The 23859-nt window shown below is 37.8% G+C and overlaps 1 protein-coding gene across 6 annotated transcripts in view; it reads right to left on the bottom strand.

Annotated features, from left to right (window-relative positions):
• The window catches only part of ATF6 (activating transcription factor 6), a 197751-nt gene that overhangs the window by 113839 nt on the left and 60053 nt on the right, over window positions 1-23859 (bottom strand). For all 6 annotated transcript variants that reach the window (NM_001437597.1, XM_011509309.1, NM_007348.4 and 3 more), the window contains exon 10: window positions 3652-3783. In NM_001437597.1, the coding sequence (NP_001424526.1) occupies window positions 3652-3783 (132 nt within the window). The remainder of the gene's footprint in view (window positions 1-3651; window positions 3784-23859) is intronic.

The raw sequence follows: 23859 nt of genomic DNA, 5'->3' as shown, positions 1-23859 counted from the left end.
CAGGTCATAATAAGGAATTACTAAATGTAATAAGAAGTCATAAAAGTGTTTCAAATAAAGAAGTGATATATTTCAATTTACATTCATACCTTGCCATGGTACCAAAAATGGACTCAATGGAGGCAAAAGGGGAAGCTGAGACACTGATTAGGAAAGAGCTATGGCAATCCTGGCAAGAACTGATGATGGCATGGACTAGGTTTGTGGCAGCAGAGACGGAGAGGAGTGGACCAATTCAAGACAATTTTGGGGAAGAGTATCAACAACACTTGTTGAAAGACAGGAATCAGGATTTCTGGCTTAAGCAATGGAAAGGAAAAAACACAGTTGTAGAAAATTGGTTGGAAGTAAAACAGGGAGAGGAACTGAGTTCCACAGTGCACATGTTAAGTTTGAAATGTTAAAACAGAGATGTCAAAGAGACTATTGGATATGTGACTCTGGAGACTCAGAAGAGAAGTCTGGACTGAAAACATAAATTTGAGAGTCATCAGGACATATAGATATGAACTGTGCATGAAATTATAGATGAGTCACCTAGGCAGAAAGAAAATAAAAAAAGTTTACAGTTCCAAACCTTGAGAGTTGGGTAAAAAAAGAGCCCACAAAGATTACTGTGAAGCAGCAGCCAATAAAAAAAGGAAACTAAAAAACCATAGTAACACAAAAGGAAAGTCTTTCAAGGAGCAAATGACCCACACAGCCAAATGCTGAGGAAAGGGCAAGTAAGATGGCAGAAAGCACTGGCCCCTTAACAGAAATAACTCTGGCAGAGTGGAAGGCTAACTTCAAGTTAAAAGTTAGAGATAGCTATTTATGCCACACACGAGAGAAAAGAAACAATAGCAGAGGATATATAGAACATTCTTCCCTGCAACTTGCACCAGGAATATTCTCAATGTCCTCTCTTGTGGCTGTAAGGGTTAAGTAGGTTTAAGTTGTTTGGAATAAAACAGACATGTTGGTGCACAGGTAATGAATGCAAACACAAAAGGATCAGCCTAAAATGAAGCATTGAGTGAGAAGGAAAAAAAGTATCTGTCTTGTGTTTGATAAATCTGAATGCCTCTAAGAGGAGGCTGCTTAACACCTCTTCTTATAAATCTATGACATACGCATTATTTTAAAAATCATGCCTGCATACTTAGAAAAATACAAACACTGTAGTCCATGAGAAAAGTCCAAAACTGCTTTTGAAAATATATTTGTGATCTGAACTCTAGTAATGATTTCTGCACATCTGTGCTAACTGGCTTTGTTCTATCAGCCAAAAATATTCTTTGGAAAAAAAAAAAAAAAGTCTGATAGGAGAAATACCAGGACAAGGATTGGGTGGAGTTAAAGGAGAGAGAAAATCAGCCAACATACAATCTGGAGACAATTAGACCAACATTAGCCCAGGAACAGTCAGAGTTCGAGTCTGCTTGCAAACATTTTATGCCAAGAGAAAAAAATTCAACAAATAAATCATTAAAGTAAATAAAGTAAAGGACAGTGCTAGGGAGCTAGAGTTAATGAGAATTCTTGGAGTAAAGATCAGTTCTGGGTGACATCTTATATAGGGTGACCATCCTTTCTCATTTATCCAAGACAGCAGTACTGGTATTCTGATGTAATTATTACTAGCACTACCTTTCCTTCTTAAGAGTGTCCCAGTTTGATAGAACATTATATGGTCATACTATTTATATGCCACACATTTCTATGACTGAAAAAATATAAGCAGTTAATTACTAAATGATAGGCTAATACAATATTATAAACTATGGGATTAGAATCTACTCATTTTTTATTTGAACCATGTCTCATAGCTCTCCTTAGAAAAAGAAACATAAAGTAAGCTGCATTAAAAAAAATGTATAGGTATCACGGCTGAAAATAGATAAAACATCTAAAATTCAGTTCAGAACACAGAACAAAGTAATATTAGGTGCTTTCAAATGTTTCACAAACATTTTTTGGTATCTTTTATTCAGTATTTATACTGATAAAATCAAGAACATCAAATTAATGGACTGACATTTATTTAAATCTCTCAAGTTGCTGAAAAATATTTCAAAGGACTTGCATGGAATCAAGAATCCATAATCTTTCCTGGGTTGTTTTTTGGTTTTTTTTTTTCCCCAAGACCAGTAACCCAGATTATTCACTCAATGGTGACTTTGGAGAAGGGAGGGAAAAAATAGCTTGCATCCCATGTACTACTCTGAAAGCTGATAAATTTCAGCCAGAAAGTCATTCAGACTTTTAGTTTGAACTAGTATGATCAGACTACTATGCTTTCTGGGAGCCACCATGTTATCTTATGCTAATGTGGAAGGCTTCTACTTGCTGCAGTTAGTGCAGAATAAATAATATTCTTGTAAAGCTTACCTGAACTGTAATTTCAAGCATTCAATCCATAACTTGTTCTATTCTTTAGCAAGACGCTATCTCAACTCTCGTAAATCCAAAGGCTATTAGATTTAAATTTAATTTTTGATGGATCTTATGTGGACACTAACAGAATTCAAAATTATAGAACACGTAGGGCAAACCTGCACAAATTACTTATGAAAATTAAATATACTATTAAACTCTACCAATATTCAGGGGCACCGTTAAGAGATCATCAAGGTGAATATTTTAAGAAGTATGATGAATTTTGGCATGTAAAAAAGCAGGAAATGCTATGTTTTCCAACATTATGACATCTATCATTGCTATGTTGCGTTGCAGCTACTGCCATAAAATCCTTTGGGTCCTCCACTGACTTGGCATACTGTACTCCACAAAAATAACAGTTTTTTCAGGAAGGCTAAGTGGAGACAAGCCTGCAGGATTGTGGTGATCATCTTTCAACAGTATGGATGTAACACAGTAAAAATCAGGAAGAAAGATTGCCCTCAACCTACAAATCCTTAAAGAGATAAAAGTAAACAAATCTGTAATAATTTTCAAGCATTATACTGTGCAATAGTTACCATACTGTGACCTCCCTTTGCCTTGTTAGTCAAGGACCTGGCTCCATTTGGCTCTAATACAAATTCTAAATAACACAGGGAAATGTTTATCAAAAAGTATACAACTATAAAAATGTCCACTATACCTTCTTCTAGTTAACATAATATAGAAATTGCATTTTTATACAATTAAAGCCTTTTGCTATTGACAAGCAATATGGAAATTTATCAAGTCATTATTAAATTGCAACAAGGGAGGGATTCAACAAAGATCACAATAAATGAGTATAAATGATTTTACCTAATGACTGCAAATAGGTTCAATCATGTTATTCCACCATATCATATCCATCCACAGGTGAGACAGTAACAAATATTAGATGTATTATATGTATAAACACATGATAGATAAAATAATTATTAAAGACATTATATATAATATGTATATATTTCAATATGTATATTAATGCACACAAACTGAGATTTTAAGATTACATCTCTATAGGAATTTTAAAACTACAAAAGGTTTCAAAGTAAATTTAATTTTACAATATTAAAAGTAAAATGTATTAATGGTTTCAGTAATTTATGTGTTCTACTACTCAAAATATACACGAACAATTTAGATGCAATGTTATACTACAGATAATTCTCTTGTTTCAGCTTCATTAAATCACTTAGGCCAAAAGATAGATGCATGCCATCTTACCTGTAGCTGTTTTTCTGGATAATACCATCTGATGTGTCCTGTGCCTCTTTAGCAGAAAATCCTAGAAGGTGCCTCCTTTGATTTGCAGGGCTCACACTAGGGTTCATTCTCCTGGAATCCTGTTCCAACATGCTGAAAATAAAAAACAGGAAATAATAGCTGAAATAAAAATATGTCACACATATGCCTGCTACATGCAGCTGTGAAACAAACCACAATTCCTTTGCAGATCCATGCACGTAACAAAAATGCTAGGCATAGACGCAAGTACAAATAGGGTACTGAAGGTGTTCAAATCCTTAGCATGGTAACCTGCACATATCAAAAACAATTTTTCTAAGTATAAAAGTACCTTATTTATAAACTGTTTAAACAATAGTAGTGTTCTATATGTTTTAAAAACTTGATAATTACATGTATATATGAAGTAGAAATAAATACGACACACCTAAAAACAAATTTTAAACTCCAATAATAACTGAAATAAGAAGGCCTCCTGGATGGTGCAAACTGGTGTTTTCAATGAGAGAATACTTCAAATGAAGTAGGAATAAAAGTCAAATTCATTGTTAGCCTTTCACAATTCCAGAAGGCAGGCTATCAGATAAAGCTAAGAAAAAAAAATTTTTTAAATACTTCTATTTGTATTTATATGTAAAAACTTCTATTCTTTCTCCCTACCCTCCCTAATATCTTCACTCATCAATGTATATCCTCTTCAGAGGCATAAGCATTTGGAGAAAACAACAAAATATATACATATAAGCAAATACTGCCTACTTAACTTTTTTTTTTTTTTTTTTTTGAGACAGGGTCTCACTCTGTCACCCAGGCTGGAGTGCAGTGGCACAATCACAGCTCACTGAAGCCTTGACCTCCTGGACTCAAGCAATCCTCCCACCTCAGCCCCTCTGAGTAGCTGAGACTATAGGCATGTGCCACCACATCTGGCTAATTTTTATTTTTTTTAATTTTAGTAGAAATGAGGTCTCACTATGTTGCCCAGACTAGTCTCAAACTCCTGAGCTAAAGCTATCCTCCCACCTTGGCCTCCCAAAGTGCTGGGATTACAGATGTAAGCCACTGCGCCCAGCCTTAATTAACACTTTTAACTCATTAATAGTGCTTAGGAACTTGGCTCATCAATAAGACTTTGTGTGTGTGTTCGCACTTTGTTTTATGATGCAACCCACACAATTTACACTACTCATAAAATTCAACACAAAGGGAATCTCCCTAGAGAAGCACAAAAGATTCTATTTGGAGGGATAAAATGCAAGAGGAAAGTAAGGCTAATGAAAAAGGGTAGTTAAGGAGCCTGTGGTTCTAAAGGAAAAGCGGTTCTTTGAGATAATAGTAGTTTGTCTCCAAATTTGGGGAAATCAGTGTTGGGGGAAAACGGGGAGCAGACACACCTCTCTAGAATATTTTTCTGATCCCTTAATATATTTTCCATTCTCCTCAATTCTTCACCCCCAGAAATCATTGCTACCCAGTGATTCTCACATGGTATGCTTTAGCACTTGGGCATACTGCAAACTCTTCAAAGGTGTACCACCAATTAAAGCCATTGTGTAACATTTAATTTTGCTACAACTGAGGCTATATTTTGTCATAGCTGTATCATTCAGACTAAAGGTTTACCTGAGCAGTCACACATCAATATAAACCTTGCCACAAATGAGGTAAGAGACCTAGTGGAATGTCTGTCTAAACTTAAGAAAAGTCACCCTGATGAGTATTTAAGAAAACATGAGAGAAGCAGAAAACAATAGCAATTTGGGAGGGAAGTCAAATGAAGAGTGTGATGACAACTAAGAAATTTTATTTCTTCTTTAGGAAACTAACTTTAAAAAAAAAGTGTTTACTTTTTCTTTCAAGCATGGTGCCAAAAATTCTAATTATGAAAGTAAGCTATGAATAAAATCAAAGTTAAGAACTTTCCCCTAAGTTTAGAGAATCTCAATTAATTCAACCCCTACTGACCCCGCTATTGTTATTAGTGAAATATCCATATACTAATGTTCCTGTTTGGTGGAAGTACTCACTCCCTGATCCCTCCAGTATCTCTACCACCCTAATTATTAAGAGTTTCCCCTTGTTTTAACTAGAAATGTGCTTCCTTTTTAAAAAACAAAAAACAAAAAAACTTCCACCTTTTGATACTAGTTCTGGATTCTGTGGCTATCCAGAACAAGTCTAAGTAAGCCTTCTTCTAATGTCCAAAGACATCTAACATCCCCCTTACCCCAGGCTTTCTTTTTCAAGATTATAGTTTCTTGATTCTTTCACATGCTCCTCTTTACAGCATAGTCTGAAGTTCCTTTAGCATATTTGATCACTGTCCTATAAACATGCTTCTCAGAGGTAATGTCCAGAATTGGCCACAGTACTTCTTAGGTAGTATGACCACTACAGAATGGAAAAGGATAATTCCTCCATTTGTTCTAGACACTGTTGTTCTACTGATGCAGTCTAATATCGCATAGGCTTTCCTGGCAGTTATATTACACTCTATTTATATTGAGCCCAGTGTAATTAAAACCCTAAGTCCTTTCACACAAATCGATTTTGAACCATTACTTTTGCTTCTCTTCCTATCCCACCTCAACTCTGAATTTGTGTAACTGAGTTTTAGGATCCAGCTGAATAATTTATATCAATTCCTTTAAAAACACTTACCTACTAATCAATCAAGAACTTTTAGGCTCCTCATTAGCAAAAGAAATTCTTCCAAGAAAGTATCAGCATGCCATCAATATCCTGTACTGAGTTGTTATTAAAATAAAAAGCTCCTTCTAAATCTGTAAAAACGTAGGTTTATCTACTTATGAATTAACTGAAATACCACCTAGGTCAAAATTTCCCATCTTGACCATAAAGATATCACAAGAATGTTAAATGCTCTTCTAAGATGCAAATACAGTATATTTTAACAGTAGCTACCACTTTTGAGTACCTACTATGTACTAAGGAAATGAAGGCTCAAAGGAAGTTGAAGCTCAAAGAGTTTAAACAGTTTGCCCAAGTTTATGCTCTAAATAACTAAGAAAGTCAGGATTTGGATTCAGGATTGGAATTCCATCACTGCACTATGTTGACAACATTTCCCAGAATGAATGATTCATCCATTAATTTATTCATGTAGTAAATACCTATTATGTTCCAAGAACTATATTTGGTGCTAATGACTCAAAGATGAAAGATAAAAAAAATCAGAATACAGCAAGTCTTCAAACAATGCTGGTTCATGCAATGTCATTTTGTGATAACACTGATGACAAAAAAAAAGTCAATTCCCAGCCAAGGTCACTGTCTGTGTGGAGTTTGCATACTCTCCCCAAGTCTGCATGAGTTTCCTGTGGGTACTCCAGTTTCCTCCCACATCTCAAAGATGTGCATGTTAAGTTAACTGGCACGTCTAAATGGCTCCAGTCTGAATGAGTGTGCGGAACATGCGTGAGTGCACCCTTCAAAGGGATGGCACCCTGTCCAGGGTTAATTCTTGACTTGTGCGCCGAGCTACCAGGATAGGCTCCAGCCATCTACCACACTGAACTGCAATAAACGCATTGGAAAATACAAATCATTGTAAAATAAAAATGTGTACAGTATACAATAATCATACAAGTGCATGACAATAAATGATGTATGAAAGCTCTCAGCAAGCCTGCCATATTTGTGATTGTTTTTGAACTGTGTGGTAGGATGTGCTCCTTTCACTTTGAAAACATTTATTCCTTGATTTAAACCACCACTACTATAACCACTGTCACTCACTGATTCACCAAAAACTGGATTAATAATTATCTTTTTTTAAAATTTTTTATTTCCATAGGTTTTTGGGGAACAGGTGGCATTTGGTGAGATGAGTACGTTGTTTAGTGGTGATCTGTGATATTTTGGTGCACCTATATCCCAAGCTTAGCTCCCACTTATGAGTGAGAATATAACGCTGTTTGGTTTTCCATTCCTGAGTTACTTCACTTAGAATAGTCTCCAATCCCATCCAGGTTGCTGCGAATGCTATTAATTCATTCCTTTTTATGACTGAGTAGTATTCCATCATATATATATACCACAGTTTCTTTATCCACTTGTTGATTGATGGGCATTTGGGTTGGTTCCACATTTTTGCAATTGCAAATTTTGCTGCTATAAATATGCATGAGCAAATATCTTTTTTGTTTAACGACCTCTTTTCCTCTGGGTAGAAACCCAGTAGTGGAATTGCTGGATCAAATGGTAGTTCTACTTTTAGTTCTTTAAGGAATCTCCACACTGTTTTCCGCAGTGGTTGTACTAGTCTAGGTGACTTTACCAATGTTTGAGAACCATTATTCTAAACTAATCCTGTTTTTCACATCTTTCCTATCTCAGTTCCCTAAAAGGTACACATTTTTACAATAGATTCAACAGAAGTGGACAGTTTGGAAATAGGGACTGGGGGAGTTTGGAGGGACATGAAAAAGTACAAAGTGGCTATTTGTATGACTTATGGATAATTTATAAATTGAATTAATTCAGAACTATTGATACTTTAAGGTTTGTAAAGAATTCTTCTACTAATCATTGTTCTTTTAATGATTTTACTAACACTATGTAAACTGGCATTTCACCTCACAATTCATGGCTGTTAACAGGCAAATGCTTTGAGCTTAACTATCCTTGTAGTCTATCCCATCTGTATCCAGGCTGCTCTATAATCACTTGGCAGCTGTACTTACTGGAAATCAGTTTTAATGTTGATTGGTTTGGCTCATAAGTGGTCACTATTTTTCCAAGTGCCCACTTTGGTAATGATTATCACATTGTAATGACAATATACCCTTAACCATAGCTATTTCAGTAACTTTTAGCCTTTTTTGAGTTAAGGAGCTCAGACGCATTCAATGAGCTTCACAAAAATTATCTTATTTACATTACACAGAGTCAATAAAGTATTTTCAACAAGGGAGTCATGATGAAACAAAATTTAGGATCCAAATAGTCTGTGGGTCTCAATTTTATTATCTATCCATTGGCTAGAATATATTTTGAAGAGGTAATATATTAATAAATTCTGCTAAGAATCTTTTAACGTTTTTCACTTGTTTGTTTTTGGTTGTTATTATTTTTTGGCCTACATTCCCTGTAGTTTTTTTGTCTTAAAATGGAATTTCTCTTAAGCTAAATTACAGACAAGTTGATTGTCCAATTCAGCTAAAAAAACATTTAAATACTTGAACTCTATGAAATGACCCACAGAAACTAATTTTAACCATCTGAATAACTACAGGTTTGTATTTCCCTTATTTTTATTAACATCTGAAAGACAGGTAAGAACTTCATTTCGCTGCCAGAATTCAAGATTGTTTTAGTACGACTGTGACATCACAAATATTGAAAGGAATTTGACAGATCTTGTAATGGTCAAATGTATAAAAGAGTATGAGAAAATTATTATTTATATGAACTTTTAGATTCTTGCCATGAGTGCTTTTGCATCATTCAAATGTCCCCTTTTGTTAATTTTAGAAAAATTAGATTTCCAAGAACTCAAAGAAATGACTCAATCATAGTAAGGATTAGTATAATGAATGCGCATTTGGTGACTGTTTCTAGTTCATAATATTAATAAAGCAATCTAACCAAACTTTGTATAATTGCTTAAATCAGGTTCTACTCAGTACGTTTAAAACAAGCTACAAATATTAAGAAAAAAGAAGAAGTCTCTAGCTGTCTCTATGATCAGAAACATGCTAGTCCAAAGAGTCACAGTAGTTTTAGGCCACAAAATAATCATTACACCAATAAACCTTGCTCACATTATGGGCCATTGGTCCTGAAAAGCATGGATTAATAAAACACAAATGATTTCAATTTCCCCGAAAGTCTGGAAAAAGTATTATAAGAATTGTTACCTTACTTTTTCATTTATTAAATTCTAAAAGCCAACAACTGTTTTAGATTATTTATGAAGCCACTTAATCCTTACAGTGTGGTTTCAGATACTCAGTCTTCATACCAAGTAGCTGAACAAAAAATGGCATATCTCCAAGTCTATTCTACTCCTTGCAAACCTGCTTTCTTATGGTACAAGTAGGTCAATTTTGAATTCAAGCCATCTTACCAGGTAAGAACCATACTGCTTCTTATCCTTAAAAGAAACTGCTTCTTATCCTCAAAAGCTGCTGCTGCTCTGTGGCTTGGAGAGCCACACACAAAAAGCTGAAATTACGTTAAGATGAAAAGAGCAGGGAGATCTTCAGGTTTTAATGTGAAATAGTGGAATGAGCACAAAATTTGGAGACAGGAGATCTGGGTTCAAGATGTTACTCTGAGACTGCTCACTTGAGTATGTCTGGGATACTTGGTCAACTTCTCTAAGCCTCCAATTCCTCACATGTAAAACATGAAAAATAACAAATATTTCACAAGGTTTTCCTGAGATTCAAATGAGACAACAGATGGAACATGGTTTATAAAGCCCAAAGATGACACAGAGCAGGACACTTGTCTTCCTGCCTACCAGGTTCAGGCTAGTGGCAACATAGTAACTAAAGTGATCCTTTTAAAATCTAGGTCAGATTATTATGTCACCTCTGCTCAAAACCTTCTGATGGCTTCCCATTTCTATCATGGTAAAAGCCCAAATCTTTAAAACGACAGAAGTCTTACCTCAATTGACCTCTCCCTGTATCTCACCTCTCTGACATCATCTCCTACTACTCTCTCTTTAGCAAAGCCACCTTGTTTTTCCTTGAACATGCAAGACACATTTCCACCCCAGGATCCCTGCAATGGCTGTTTCCTCTGCCAAGAATGCTGTTCTTCCTCAGATATCCATATGGCTAACCCTCTCCTCTCCTTTAAGCCTTGGCTCAAACACCTGCCTTACAGTGATCACCATTTAAAACTACAGTCCTGGCAGGGAACAGTGGCTCACACCTGTAATCCCGGAATTTTGTGAAGCCAAGGTGGGCAGACTGCTTCAGCCCAGCAGTTTGAGACCAGCCTGGGCAACACAGTGAAACCTCATCTCTACGATAATAATAATCATAATACAATAATTAGCTGGGTGTGGTGGAGTGTGCCTGTGGTCCCAGCTCCTCAGGAGGCTGAGGTGGAACAATCGCTTGAGCTCAGGAGGTCAAGGCTGAGTGAGCCGTGATTGCATTGCTGTACTTCAGCCTGGGGAACAGGGCAAGACCTTGCCTCAAAAAAAATTAAAAATAAGTAAATAAAACTACAGTCCCAACAACTACCCTTCAACATGTAAAACCATTTACCCTACTATACTTTATCCCTTTGTCCAAAGAATTTATAATTTTCTCATTTTACTTATGTTTATTGTCTCTCTTCTTGTTAGAATGTAAGCTAAGGGGTGTTCTAGTTCCTGGTTCATAAGAGGTATTCCTTTTTCAAAAAATAAACAAATAAATAAACTTCATGCACCATCTGCCTCTTGTCAAGATCTACATTTTAGGGAAACTAACCCACAACTCAAGAATGGCAGGTGGTGAAGTCACTATTACACCATTTCCAGATCCAGGAACAGAACATTATGTTAACTTTCAATGCAACTGAGACTAAAAGGAGGAAAAAATGGGGAGTTTTCAAGGTAGTTTCCAAATTTTAAAAAGGTTTTCTTTTCTCTGTTTATTGAATGGTTCAGAGATGATTTTTGCAGCCTAGTAGTAACTGGGGGTAATTTATTAGAAACATAAATGTGGTTAAATGAAGAAATAGACCTTCAAGTCAAGATAAAAGAACCCTCTAAATAGCAGTTCTCAGAGCCAGGGATTACCGTGCTCTGGGAAGAAACCTGCACTTTACAGTGGCTATTTGCCAAATGGGCCAACATGAGCAAGAAAACAACCTGAGATTCTTTCATTCATTCAATAAGCAATTATAAAGCAAGCACTATTCTAATAGATGATGCTTATTCTTGGAACCCAGACACTAAACTGTGAGGAAACCCATGCAGCTGTGGAGAGGTCCAAATGAAGAAAAACCAAGAACCCTGGCCCACATCCCAGGCTCAGGTCCCAGCTGAAAGCCGTCACCAACTTACTGGCCATGTGAATGAGCCAATCTGAAAGTGGGTCCTCCAACCTAAGCCACCCCAGCTAACACTCCACGGAGGCAAAGAAGAACTGTCTGTCCTGAACTCTGCCCAATTTGCAGATTTCTTTACCAAAATAATAACTGCTGTTGTCTTAAGCGTTTAGGTTTTGGGGTGGTTTGTTCCACAGTATTAGATAACTGATACTCTATAGTAATTAGATTGCTGACATCACTGAGTCAGTGTTTAATATAAAAGGTGTGTGTGTGAACAACTCTTTGTATATTTCTCACTACAGAAAAGTATCCTCTGATTATTCTAAATGTCAAAAAACATGGCTGTAAATTTGAGTACAATCTCTCTTTTCTGTTATACTTACATCAATCCAGTCAATTCATAAGCTACTTTCCCCTATCACAGCCAATCCTAAGCTTTAGGGAAACGGGCAGAGTTACTAAAGTCCTAACTCCTCTAACTGTAAATGCCAACTCCTTTTTCTCTGCCTGAGTGGCTGTTGCTCTGTCAGTGATTAAGCCAAGGCTCCAGAGGCAGATTGTGATTCTGATCTCTGCCACATATTAGCTGTGTCTTCGGTTTCCTCATCTGTAAATCAGGAATAATAATACCTGCCTCATGGCACTAGGAGGAACAAATGAATTAATCCATATATCAAATAGAATACTTGGACTAGTATTTAGTGCATAAAACGTAATTAGTATTTGATAAATAATGGCTTAATACAACACGCAGAAAAAACTAGCTACCTTTACTACCCAAGCACACATGGTATCAACCCATAGCCAACCTAGCTTATTCCACAACTAAGAATCTTCACCTGTTTTCATCCTCTTTTCTTCCAACTGCCTTATTTCCATTTATCTCTCATTGTTAATTTACCAAAAAAAAAAAAATGGGAGAAAGGAAAAATAAAAGCAAGTAATTGAGAAATCTGCTTTATTGGGAATTCTGGGAAAGGGCTGAGACAGAAAATAATATAAGGTACATAGATCGTCTGTACATTCCGTACTTCTGGCTCCTCAGAGGCCATGGATTGTGATAAACTGACAGTGTGCATAACATACTAAGGCCAATTTATGTTCAGAACACACAGACACCAAAAAGTCCAAAGGCACGGCACACACCTGCAGTTCATACTGACATTAGTCATAAATCAATTAAGAACCATTTGTAGAATGACACTTAAAATTATGTTTCAAATGCTCACTAATGTGACAAAACAGCTCAATCTGGAGACAAAAAAGACATGAATGGCAAACTGCCTAGAAGTCTAAGCAATATATAATAATTACATATGTACTTCTGTACATTCAAAAGCTTCAAAAGTATCCTATACTACCCTTAATATTAGCCTAGACCTTCACTTGTTACAAAATTAAGATGTTTATTTCCTTTATTATTTATGTTCTGCAGCACTTACACAGCATGATTCCACCCAGCTATATTAAGTACTGAAAATGGTGGTTGAAAATGCTATTTCACACAAACTATCCACTAGTCCTTGTTTTATGTTAACTAAGATGTATGGTCTGAAGAACATATCGAAGTACTCAACTTAAACTCTGATAGTAGTTTTCTCACCTGGCCTAGTTTCTCACCGACCCCTTCTCACTAGGTAGAAAGCAGAAGAGATAAATTTCCTTTTATCTCTTAAGTTGGCAAGGGATGTAGGTTTCTGGTTTCAGCTGCCTTTCCCTTCATTACAACAATGAAGTGTGGGGAAAAAGTAGCCAAGTGATACAAGGTAAAGCCACTAGGATGCTCCTTATAAGCCTCCCTATGTACAACTCACATGAAAGCCAAAACTAGAGAAAAGCATCAACAGAATTTTCCATGCCCTCAAAACCCAGCTCTGCACTTGATAGGTTCTAAGACATCTTTTTCAACAAAGGATGAAATCTACAGAGAAAAGAGAACCAATTACTTTGTGTAGACACATTTTTGACAAACATGAATACGTTAAGACTATTTGAGGAAAGGACTGCCTTTGGCTCTGTTACCCTCCTGCAATTCCAGATTCAGTAACACCTGGTACTCAGATACATTGTATTTCTTCAGTTCATGTGTCACTTTGATAAATGTGGAAAGTACTTTTAGCCAAAAACTCAAATTAGATTTCATTTAAAAATCTGGCTGAACAAAACCGTGTATACTTGGTGGTTTGAATTCTGACGTTTAAGTTACACGGTAACTTTTAACCTACAGCCAATAGTGATATCATATGGCGAAATGTGCTCAACAACAACAACAAAAAATTGGAACCAGATTTGGAGACAAGCTCATCTCAGGATAAGAAGCTAGAATTCTTCCTATAAAATAATGAAAAGCTGACAAACTCAGAGAATGCTGGAATAGAAACATTTTACTTCTAACCAGTTCCACATGACTCAAACTCAATGCCATATGCTCCGTGGTTACCTTTTCCTTAAAGCACAGTCTCATAAGAAAACCACAGAGTAACTGGCCCACTAGTAGCATGATTTACCCTTCCTCATCCAAGTCTGATGTCTCAAACTATAAAGATTCCAGACCTAGTGAGGGCGCAGCATTAACCCAGAACAAAAACAGGGTAAAAGCACTGTCAATTCCAAACATTTGTTAATTTTTTTAAGACCTAACTAAAACATATTTAAAACCTCCTTAGTATGTTCATTTATGATTTGCAGCAAAGGAGGATGACTATAGTGACCTTTAAAATAGAAAGGGGAAAACATAACAAAGGAATCTATAATCTGCAATCCTATGTGCCAGGAAGAAGTTCCCTTCACAGATTATGCTGTGGCCCCTACTCTGTCCAAAACAGAGGTCCATAAATGTCCTCAAGTATATGAGACAAACCTATCTATACAGAGGTGTCTGTCTAGAGACATTTTAATAAAAACTTCCCTTACGTACATTATCTTATAATCTAATGAATAAGTGCTTTTACAATTTCCATAGTGGCTAATGTATAGGAAGAAAGAAATACAAAACTATACAAAACAATGTATAGGAAGAAAGAAATACAAAACTACACACAACAGTTTTCAACCCTAGACATACTTCAGAATCTCCTGGGAAAAATGTTTGGTTTACAAACAAATGCCTTTGACCTACCCTATCAGACTTCATAGGTCTTGGGTAGGGCTCAGTTAGCAATATTTTTAAGATTCCAGAGTAAGGCTGGGCATGCTGGCTGACATCTGCAATCCCAACACTTAAGGAGGCTGAGGCAGGAGCATCACTTGAGCCCAGAAATTCGAGACCAGCCTGAGCAACATAATAAGATGTCATCACTTCAAAAAAACTTTTTTAAATGAGCCAGGTACGGTGGTGTGTATCTAGAGTACTAACTACTCAGGAGGCTTGAGCCTAGGAGTTCAAGACTGCAGTGAGTCATGATCATGCTGCTGCACTCCAGCCTGGAAAACAAAGCAAGATCCTGTCTCTAAAAATAAAAATAAAAAATAAAATTAAAGACAATTCAGGTTATACATTTTTTGGGACAAGAACATCATAGAAGTGATACTGTGCCCTTCTCAGTGCATCCCATCAGGAGCTGCAGATGTCAATATGTCTCATGACTGGGAATGTTACTTTATTCCTTAGTTATGGTGGCATAACCTCTTGTCCAATATCTCTCACATTTTCTATCTCTCTGTCTCCCTGTGTTACATTCTATATAATTTCTTCAGATCCATCGTCCCATTCACTATTTCTTTCTTCAAGTATATCTATTTTTTTGTTTTGTTATTATTATTATTATACTTTAGGTTTTAGGGTACATGTGCACAACGTGCAGGTTTGTTACATATGTATACATGTGCCATGTTGGTGTGCTGCACCCATTAACTCGTCATTTAGCATTAGGTCTATCTCCTAATGCTATCCCTCCCCCCTCCCCCCACACCACAACAGTCTCCAGTGTGTGATGTTCCCCTTTCTGTGTCCATGTGTTCTCATTGTTCAATTCCCACCTATGAGTGAGAACATGCGGTGTTTGGTTTTTTATCCTTGCAATAGTTTGCTGAGAATGATAGTTTCCAGTTTCATCCATGTCCCTACAAAGGACATGAATTCATCTTTTTTATGGCTGCATAGTATTCCATGGTGTATATGTGTCACATTTTCTTAATCCAGTCTATCATTGTTGGACATTTGGGTTGGTTCCAAATCTTTGCTATTGTGAATAGTGCCGCAATAAACATACGTGTGCATGTGTCTTTATAGCAGCATGATTTATAATCCTTTGGGATTATAAATCCTTTCCATGTTTAGTGCTTCCTTCCGGAGCTCTTGTAGGGCAGGCCTGGTGGTGACAAAATCTCTCAGCATTTGCTTGTCTGTGAAGTATTTTATTTCTCCTTCACTTATGAAGCTTAGTTTGGCTGGATATGAAATTCTGGGTTGAAAATTCTTTTCTTTAGGAATGTTGAATATTGGCCCCCACTCTCTTCTGGCTTGCAGAGTTTCTGCCTAGAGATCAGCTGTTAGTCTGATGGACTTCCCTTTGTGGGTAACCCAACCTTTCTCTCTGGCTGCCCTTAACACTTTTTCCTTCATTTCAACTTTGGTGAATCTGACAATTATGTGGCTTGGAGTTGCTCTTCTCGAGGAGTATCTTTGTGGCGTTCTCTGTATTTCCTGAATTTGAATGTTGGCCTGCCTTGCTAGATTGGGGAAGTTCTCCTGGATAATATCCTGCAGAGTGTTTTCCAACTTGGTTCCATTCTCCCCATCACTTTCAGGCGCACCAATTAGACGTAGATTTGGTCTTTTCACATAGTCCCATATTTCTTGGAGGCTTTGTTCGTTTCTTTTTATTCTTTTTTCTCTAAACTTCTCTTCATGCTTCATTTCATTCACTTCGTCTTCCATCGCTGATACCCTTTCTTCCAGTTGATCGCATTGGTTACTGAGGCTTGTGCATTCGTCACATAGTTCTCGTGCCATGGTTTTCAGCTACATCAGGTCCTTTAAGGACTTCTCTGCATTGGTTATTCTAGTTATCCATTCATCTAATTTTTTTTTCAAAGTTTTTAACTTTTTTGCCATTGGTTCGAACTTCCTCCTTTAGCTCGGAGTAGTTTGATCTTCTGAAGCCTTCTTCTCTCAACTCGTCAAAGTCATTCTCCGTCCAGCTTTGTTCTGTTGCGGGTGAGGAGCTGCGTTCCTTTGGAGGAGGAGAGGCGCTCTGATTTTTAGAGTTTCTGGTTTTTCTGCTCTGTTTTTTCCCCATCTTTGTGGTTTTATCTATCTTTGGTCTTTGATGATGGTGACGTACAGATGGGTTTTTGGTGTGGATGTCCTTTCTGTTTGTTAGTTTTCCTTCTAACAGTCAGGACCCTCAGCTTCAGGTCTGTTGGAGTTTACTGGAGGTCCACTCCAGACCCTGTTTGCCTGGGTATCAGCAGCGGTGGCTGCAGAACAGCGGATATTGGTGAACTGCAAATGCTGCTGCCTGATCGTTCCTCTGGAAGTTTTGTCTCAGAGGAGTACCCAGCTGTGTGAGGTGTCAGTCCGCCCCTACTGGGGGGTGCCTCCCAGTTAGGCTGCTCGGGGGTTAGGGACCCACTTGAGGAGGCAGCCTGCCCGTTCTCAGATCTCAAGCTGCATGCTGGGAGAACCACTACTCTCTTCAAAGCTGTCAGACAGGGACATTTAAGTCTGCAGAGGTTATTGCTGTCTTTTGTTTGTCTGTGCCCTGCCCCTAGAGGTGGAGCCTACAGAGGCAGGAAGGCCTCCTTGAGCTGTGGTGGGCTCCACCCAGTTCAAGCTTCCCAGCTGCTTTGTTTACCTGCTCAAGCCTGGGCAATGGCAGGTGCCCCTCCCCCAGCCTCGCTGCCGCCTTGCAGTTTGATCTCAGACTGCTGTGCTAGCAATGAGCGAGGCTCTGTGGGTGTAGGACCCTCCAAGTCAGGTGCTGGATATAATCTCCTCGTGTGCTGTTTGTTAAGCCCGTTGGAAGAGCACAGTATTAGGGTGGTAGTGACCCGATTTTCCAGGTGCCGTCTGTCACCCCTTTCTTTGACTAGGAAAGGGAACTACCTGACCCCTTGCACTTCCTGGGTGAGGCAATGCCTCACCCTGCTTCAGCTCATGCACGGTGCGCTGCACCCACTGTCCTGCACCCACTGTCTGGCACTCCCCAGTGAGATGAACCCTGTACCTCAGTTGGAAATGCAGAAATCACCCATCTTCTGCATTGCTCACGCTGGGAGCTGTAGACTGGAGCTGTTCCTATTCCAAGTATACCTATTTTGCTGTCTTAACCTGGTCATTGTTTTTATAATTTTAACTTAAATTTTTATTTCCAGATTTTTTTTCAAAATGTTCTGGCCAATTCTGGTAGTCTTTTGTTCCTTTACCAGACTTTAATTCTGTCTTTTAATATATTTTATATTCTCTATCTGATAATTCAAATATCTATAGTCTTTCAGAGTGTGATTCTGTAGTTTATTTTTTCTAACTCTTATTCATGGTGGTATGGTTTCCTGGTGTGTTTAATGACTTTTGAGGGAAAGAAGCAGACATGTGCTCATGTTCAACTGGCTCTGTATCTCTGGAAATTTTTCTTTCTTTTTTTTTTTTTATTATACTTTAAGTTCTAGGGTACATGTGCACAACGTGCAGGTTTGTTACATATATACATATGTGCCACATTGGTGTGCTGCACCCATTAACTCGCCATTTACATTAGGTGTATCTCTGAATGCTATCCCTCCCCCCTCCCCCGACCCCACCACAGGCCCCAGTGTGTGATGTTCCCCCTCCTGTATCCAACTGCTCTCACTGTTCAGTTCCCACCTATGAGTGAGAACATGTGGTGTTTGGTTTTTTGTCCTTGTGATAGTTTGCTGAGAATGATGGTTTCCAGATTCATCCATGTCCCTACAAAGGACATGAACTCATCATTTTTTATGGCTGCATAGTATTCCATGGTGTATATGTGACACATTTTCTTAATCCAGTCTATCATTGTTGGACATTTGGGTTGGTTCCAAGTCTTTGCTATTGTGAATAGTGCCACAATAAACATATGTGTGCATGTGTCTTTATAGCAGCATGATTTATAATCCTTTGGGTATATACCCAGTAATGGGATGGCTGGGTCAAATGGCATTTCTAGTTCTAGATCCTTGAGGAATTGCCACACTGTCTTCCACAATGTTTGAACTAATTTACAGTCCCACCAACAGTGTAAAAGTGTTCCTATTTCTCCACATCCTCTACAGCACCTGTTGCTTCCTGACTTTGTAATGACTGCCATTTTAACTGGTGTGAGATGGTATCTCATTGTGGTTTTGATTTGCATTTCTCTGATGGCCAGTGATGATGAGCATTTTTTCATGTGTCTTTTGGCTGCATAAATGTCTTCTTTTGAGAAGTGTCTGTTCATATCCTTCACCCACTTTTTGATGGGGTTGTTTTTTTCTTGTAAATTTGTTTGAGTTCTTTGTAGATTCTGGATATCAGCCCTTTGTCAGACGAGTAGATTGCAAAAATTTTCTCCCATTCTGTAGGTTGCCTGTTCACTCTGACGGTAGTTTCTTTTGCTGTGCAGAAGCTCTTTAGTTTAATTAGATCCCATTTGTCAATTTTGGCTTTTGTTGCCATTGCTTTTGGTGTTTTAGACATGAAGTCGTTGCCCTTGCCTATGTCCTGAATGGTATTGCCTAGGTTTTCTTGTAGGGTTTTTATGGTTTTAGGTCTAACATTTAAGTCTTTGATCCATCTTGAATTAATTTTTGTATAAGGTGTAAGGAACGGATCCAGTTTCAGCTTTCTACATATGGCTAGCCAGTTTTCCCAGCACCATTTATTACTTAGGGAATCCTTTCCCCATTGCTTGGTTTTGTCAGGTTTGTCAAAGATCAGATGGTTGTAGACGTGTGGTATTATTTCTGAGGGCTCTGTTCTGTTCCATTGGTCTATATCTCTGTTTTGGTACCAGTACCATGCTGTTTTGGTTACTGTAGCCTTGTAGTATAGTTTGAAGTCAGGTAGCATGATGCCTCCAGCTTTGTTCTTTTGGCTTAGGATTGACTTGGCGATGCAGGCTCTTTTTTGGTTCCATATGAACTTCAAAGTAGTTTTTTCCAATTCTGTGAAGAAAGTCATTGGTAGCTTGATGGAGATGGCATTGAATCTATAAATTACCTTGGGCAGTATGGCCATTTCCACGATATTGATTCTTCCTATCCATGAGCATGGAATGTTCTTCCATTTGTTTGTGTCCTCTTTTATTTCATTGAGCAGTGGTTTGTAGTTGTCCTTGAAGAGGTCCTTCACATCCCTTTAAGTTGGATTCCTAAGTATTTTATTCTCTTTGAAGCAATTGTGAATGGGAGTTCACTCATGATTTGGCTCTCTGTTTGTCTGCTATTGGTGTATAAGAATGCTTGTGATTTTTGCACATTGATTTTGTATCCTGAGACTTTGCTGAAGTTGCTTATCAGCTTAAGGAGATTTTGGGCTAAGATAATGGGGTTTTCTAAATATACAATCATGTCATCTGCAAACAATTTGACTTCCTCTTTTCCTAATTGAATACCCTTTATTTCTTTCTCCTGCCTGATTGCCCTGGCCAGAACTTCCAACACTATGTTGAATAGGAGTGGTGAGAGAGGGCATCCCTGTCTTGTGCCAGTTTTCAAAGGGAATGCTTCCAGTTTTTGCCCATTCAGTATGATATTGGCTGTGGGTTTGTCATAAATAGCTCTTTTATTTTGAGATATGTTCCATCAATACCTAGTTTATTGAGAGTTTTTAGCATGAAGGGCTGTTGAATTTTGTCAAAGGCCTTTTCTGCATCTATTGAGATAATTATGTGGTTTTTGTCTTTGGTTCTGTTTATATGCTGGATTACATTTATTGATTTGTGTATGTTGAACCAGCCTTGCATCCCAGGGATGAAGCCCACTTGATCATGGTGGATAAGCTTTTTGATATGTTGCTAGATTCAGTTTGCCAGTATTTTATTGAGGATTTTTTCATCGATGTTCATCAGGGATATTGGTCTACTTTACTTCCAACTATGTGGTCAATTTTGGAATAAGTGCGATGTGGTGCTGAGAAGAATGTATATTCTGTTGATTTGGGGTGGAGAGTTCTGTAGATGTATATTAGGTCTGCTTGGTGCAGAGCTGAGTTCAATTCCTGGATATCCCTGTTAACTTTCTGTCTCGTTGATCTGTCTAATGTTGACAGTGGGGTGTTAAAGTCTCCCATTATGCATGAACCCGGGAGGCGGAGCTTGCAGTGAGCTGAGATCGCGCCACTGCACTCCAGCCTGGGCAACAAAGCTAGACTCCGTCTCACCAAAAAAAAAAAAAAAAAAAAAAAAAGTCTCCCATTATGATTGTGTGGGAGTCTAAGTCTCTTTGTAGGTCTCTAAGGACTTGCTTTATGAATCTGGGTGCTCCCGCATTGGATGCATATATATTTACGATAGTTAGCTCTTCTTGTTGAATTGATCCCCTTACCATTATGTAATGGCCTTCTTTGTCTCTTTTGATCTCTGCTGGTTTAAAGTCTGTTTTATCAGAGACTAGGATTGCAACCCCTGCCTTTTGTTTTCCATTTGCTTGGTAGATCTTCCTCCATCCCTTTATTTTGAGCCTGTGTGTGTCTCTGCATATGAGATGGGTCTCCAGTTTTTCTAGGATGGACACTTTCTTTTATAAAGTGTCTCTTCTGAGAAGAATTTGCATTCAATTCCCTCAGGTGCCTACAGGCACCACCAACATAAGCCCACCTAAACTGCATTTTTGTCTTGATTTTGGGGGGATCACACTAGTAGTATAAATTTAGGCTCTAACCTGATTAGGTAGGGGCTTTGAGTAAAGAATTATCAGGAAAGACTTTTCATTTGTTTCCACTCTAACTAAAGCCAAAACCAAGATAGGTACTTAATAACAGTCTCCCTGAGTGGTAGGGCAACTTTTGTTCCCCTCTTTTGGCAACCAAGAGTGTCATTCTTTGGAAGTTCTGGCTTTATTTGGGTAGAGGAAAAGGGAGGCCTCAGTTGTGACTTCCCACCTCACTTGGGTCCACAGCTTTCTTTCCCATCCCCAGACACTACGCCGCAAGGATCAGGAACTATATCCAGAACAAGCACCACTTCCAATGCTAGCTTATCATTATAGACTCATCTTATCTTTTATTATTTCTGGCCTCTGAGAAGCCCTTACTTTGTCTCCAGTGGAGCCAGGAAATAAGAGTTTTGATTTATTTTTTCAATCCATCATTTTTTAGTGTGCTAAACTGCAATGAGTTTCCTGTACCTTTAGCCTACCATATTGCCAAAAACAAAAGGTTAAGGTTCCTTAACCTTAAGGTAGAAAAAATAAAATAAAGTAACACTTTACAGCATAGTAGAAAAGGCAGAGTCTGTAGTGATAATTTAAAAAAAAGAAAAAAAACCTGGGTTAAATTTCAGGTTCTCAACAATAAAATATGACTAATAATCATAGAATTAACCCCAATGAGTAATAAGAAGAGGATTTTCTTTTTAACCAATTCACATTTGTCCTGTTTAGCCAGTCCCTGCTACCTAGAGTTACTATTTATAGACCACCCAGAGTGGGCCAGCTCCTTGAATCCTATGCCAAAAATAGCTAGATGACTTCTTTACTATCCACAAAATATCGATAAGGTCAGAAAAATTAACCCTTATAAGTCCATTTAGTTTATTTTTTTTTCCTGTGTGACGTCTATTCAGTAACCCAAACCTCTTCAAACTAGTCAGCTTTGCTGCATATTACCTTTGACAAAACTCTCTTACTTTATACATTAGATATATTTATATTTCATCACCAAATGCCTTCAGGAAATGTTTAAGGCATACCAATATTTGGCAAACTTGTGTGTTTTATTTTTTTTTTTTCATTTGGCCCATACCAATAAGGCACAAACATTCAGTTCTACGCTGAACATCTGAAACCACATTAATCACTTTACTCGGTAATGTGATCTGTTCTAAAAGAGTTTAGGTTCCTAAATTTAAAATACTTTGGAAATCTCTGATTCAAATGTCTATTTGTCTGACAAACTTAATTTTGTGGTACTTAACAAAAGTTCAGATAGAGCTCACAATCTTTTTTTTTAAAGCCTATGCATTTTCCAATTAAAACATAATAATGCATGCTTAAGGTTTCTAGATACACAAGACTACAGATGTGACACTTGTTCAATAAATATCTTCCAGGTGGTTACTAATAAGGTTCAACTGGGAAGTTCCTGCTCCTCTGGCAGACTCCCGGACCAGAGAAGATCATAGCCTTGCAGTAAAAAGACTGAAAACAGGCCAGGCGCAGTGGCTCACACCTGTAATCCCAGCATTTTGGGAGGCTGAGGTGGGCAGATCACAAGGTCAGGAGTTCGAGACCAGCCTGACCAACATGGTGAAACCCTGTCTCTACTAAAAATACAAAAAATTAGCTGGGCATAGTGGCAGGTGCCTGTAATCCCAGCTACTCGGGAGGCTGAGGCAGGAGAATCGCTTGAACCTGGGAGGCAGAGGTTGCAGTGAGCCAAGATCGCACCACTGCACTCCAGCCTGGGGAACAGACTGAGACTCCATCTCAAAAAAAAAAAAAAAAAATGGGGCCAATCAAAAAATTCTTTTGAATAACACAAATGATGAAACATCTCAATTCCCAACATTTGATTCAGGGACAAATTTCAGTCTTTCAAATCACTGTTGTTCTCTGGGCTTTAATATTTCACTGTTCATGCCAAATTTTGTCTACAAGAAATAGTTCTTGGTTTTTATAAATTTCACAGCCAGTTTCCTCCATATTTCCTTGTTGGTGTCAAAGATATTCTGACTTGTTAAGATACTTTCCTACACTTCCTCATTCCTTCCAGCTTTTCTCCTTGATGCTTTTCTTCAAGTTAAGCCTTTTAACATGTTTTTTTAACTTGAATAGTTCCTAATATTCCCACTACTTCTTCGCTGGCTGTTCCTAAAGCATCACACAGAGAAAGATACAGATCTTAACTGATTGATCCTCAAGATTTTCAAATATTTAAGCTTTCTCCGATTTTTAATCCCCTCTTTCTACTAACTCCTTTTTGAACACAAACCACTTCTTGATAAAATAGGGACCATCATCTCTTCCTTTCATAATCAATCAATCTACCATGGAAATGAGATCCAT

Source organism: Homo sapiens, chromosome 1 (genome assembly GCF_000001405.40).
Source record: "Homo sapiens chromosome 1, GRCh38.p14 Primary Assembly".
Taxonomy (NCBI): Eukaryota; Metazoa; Chordata; class Mammalia; order Primates; family Hominidae; genus Homo; species Homo sapiens.
This window is presented reverse-complemented; position numbering and strand designations above follow the sequence as displayed.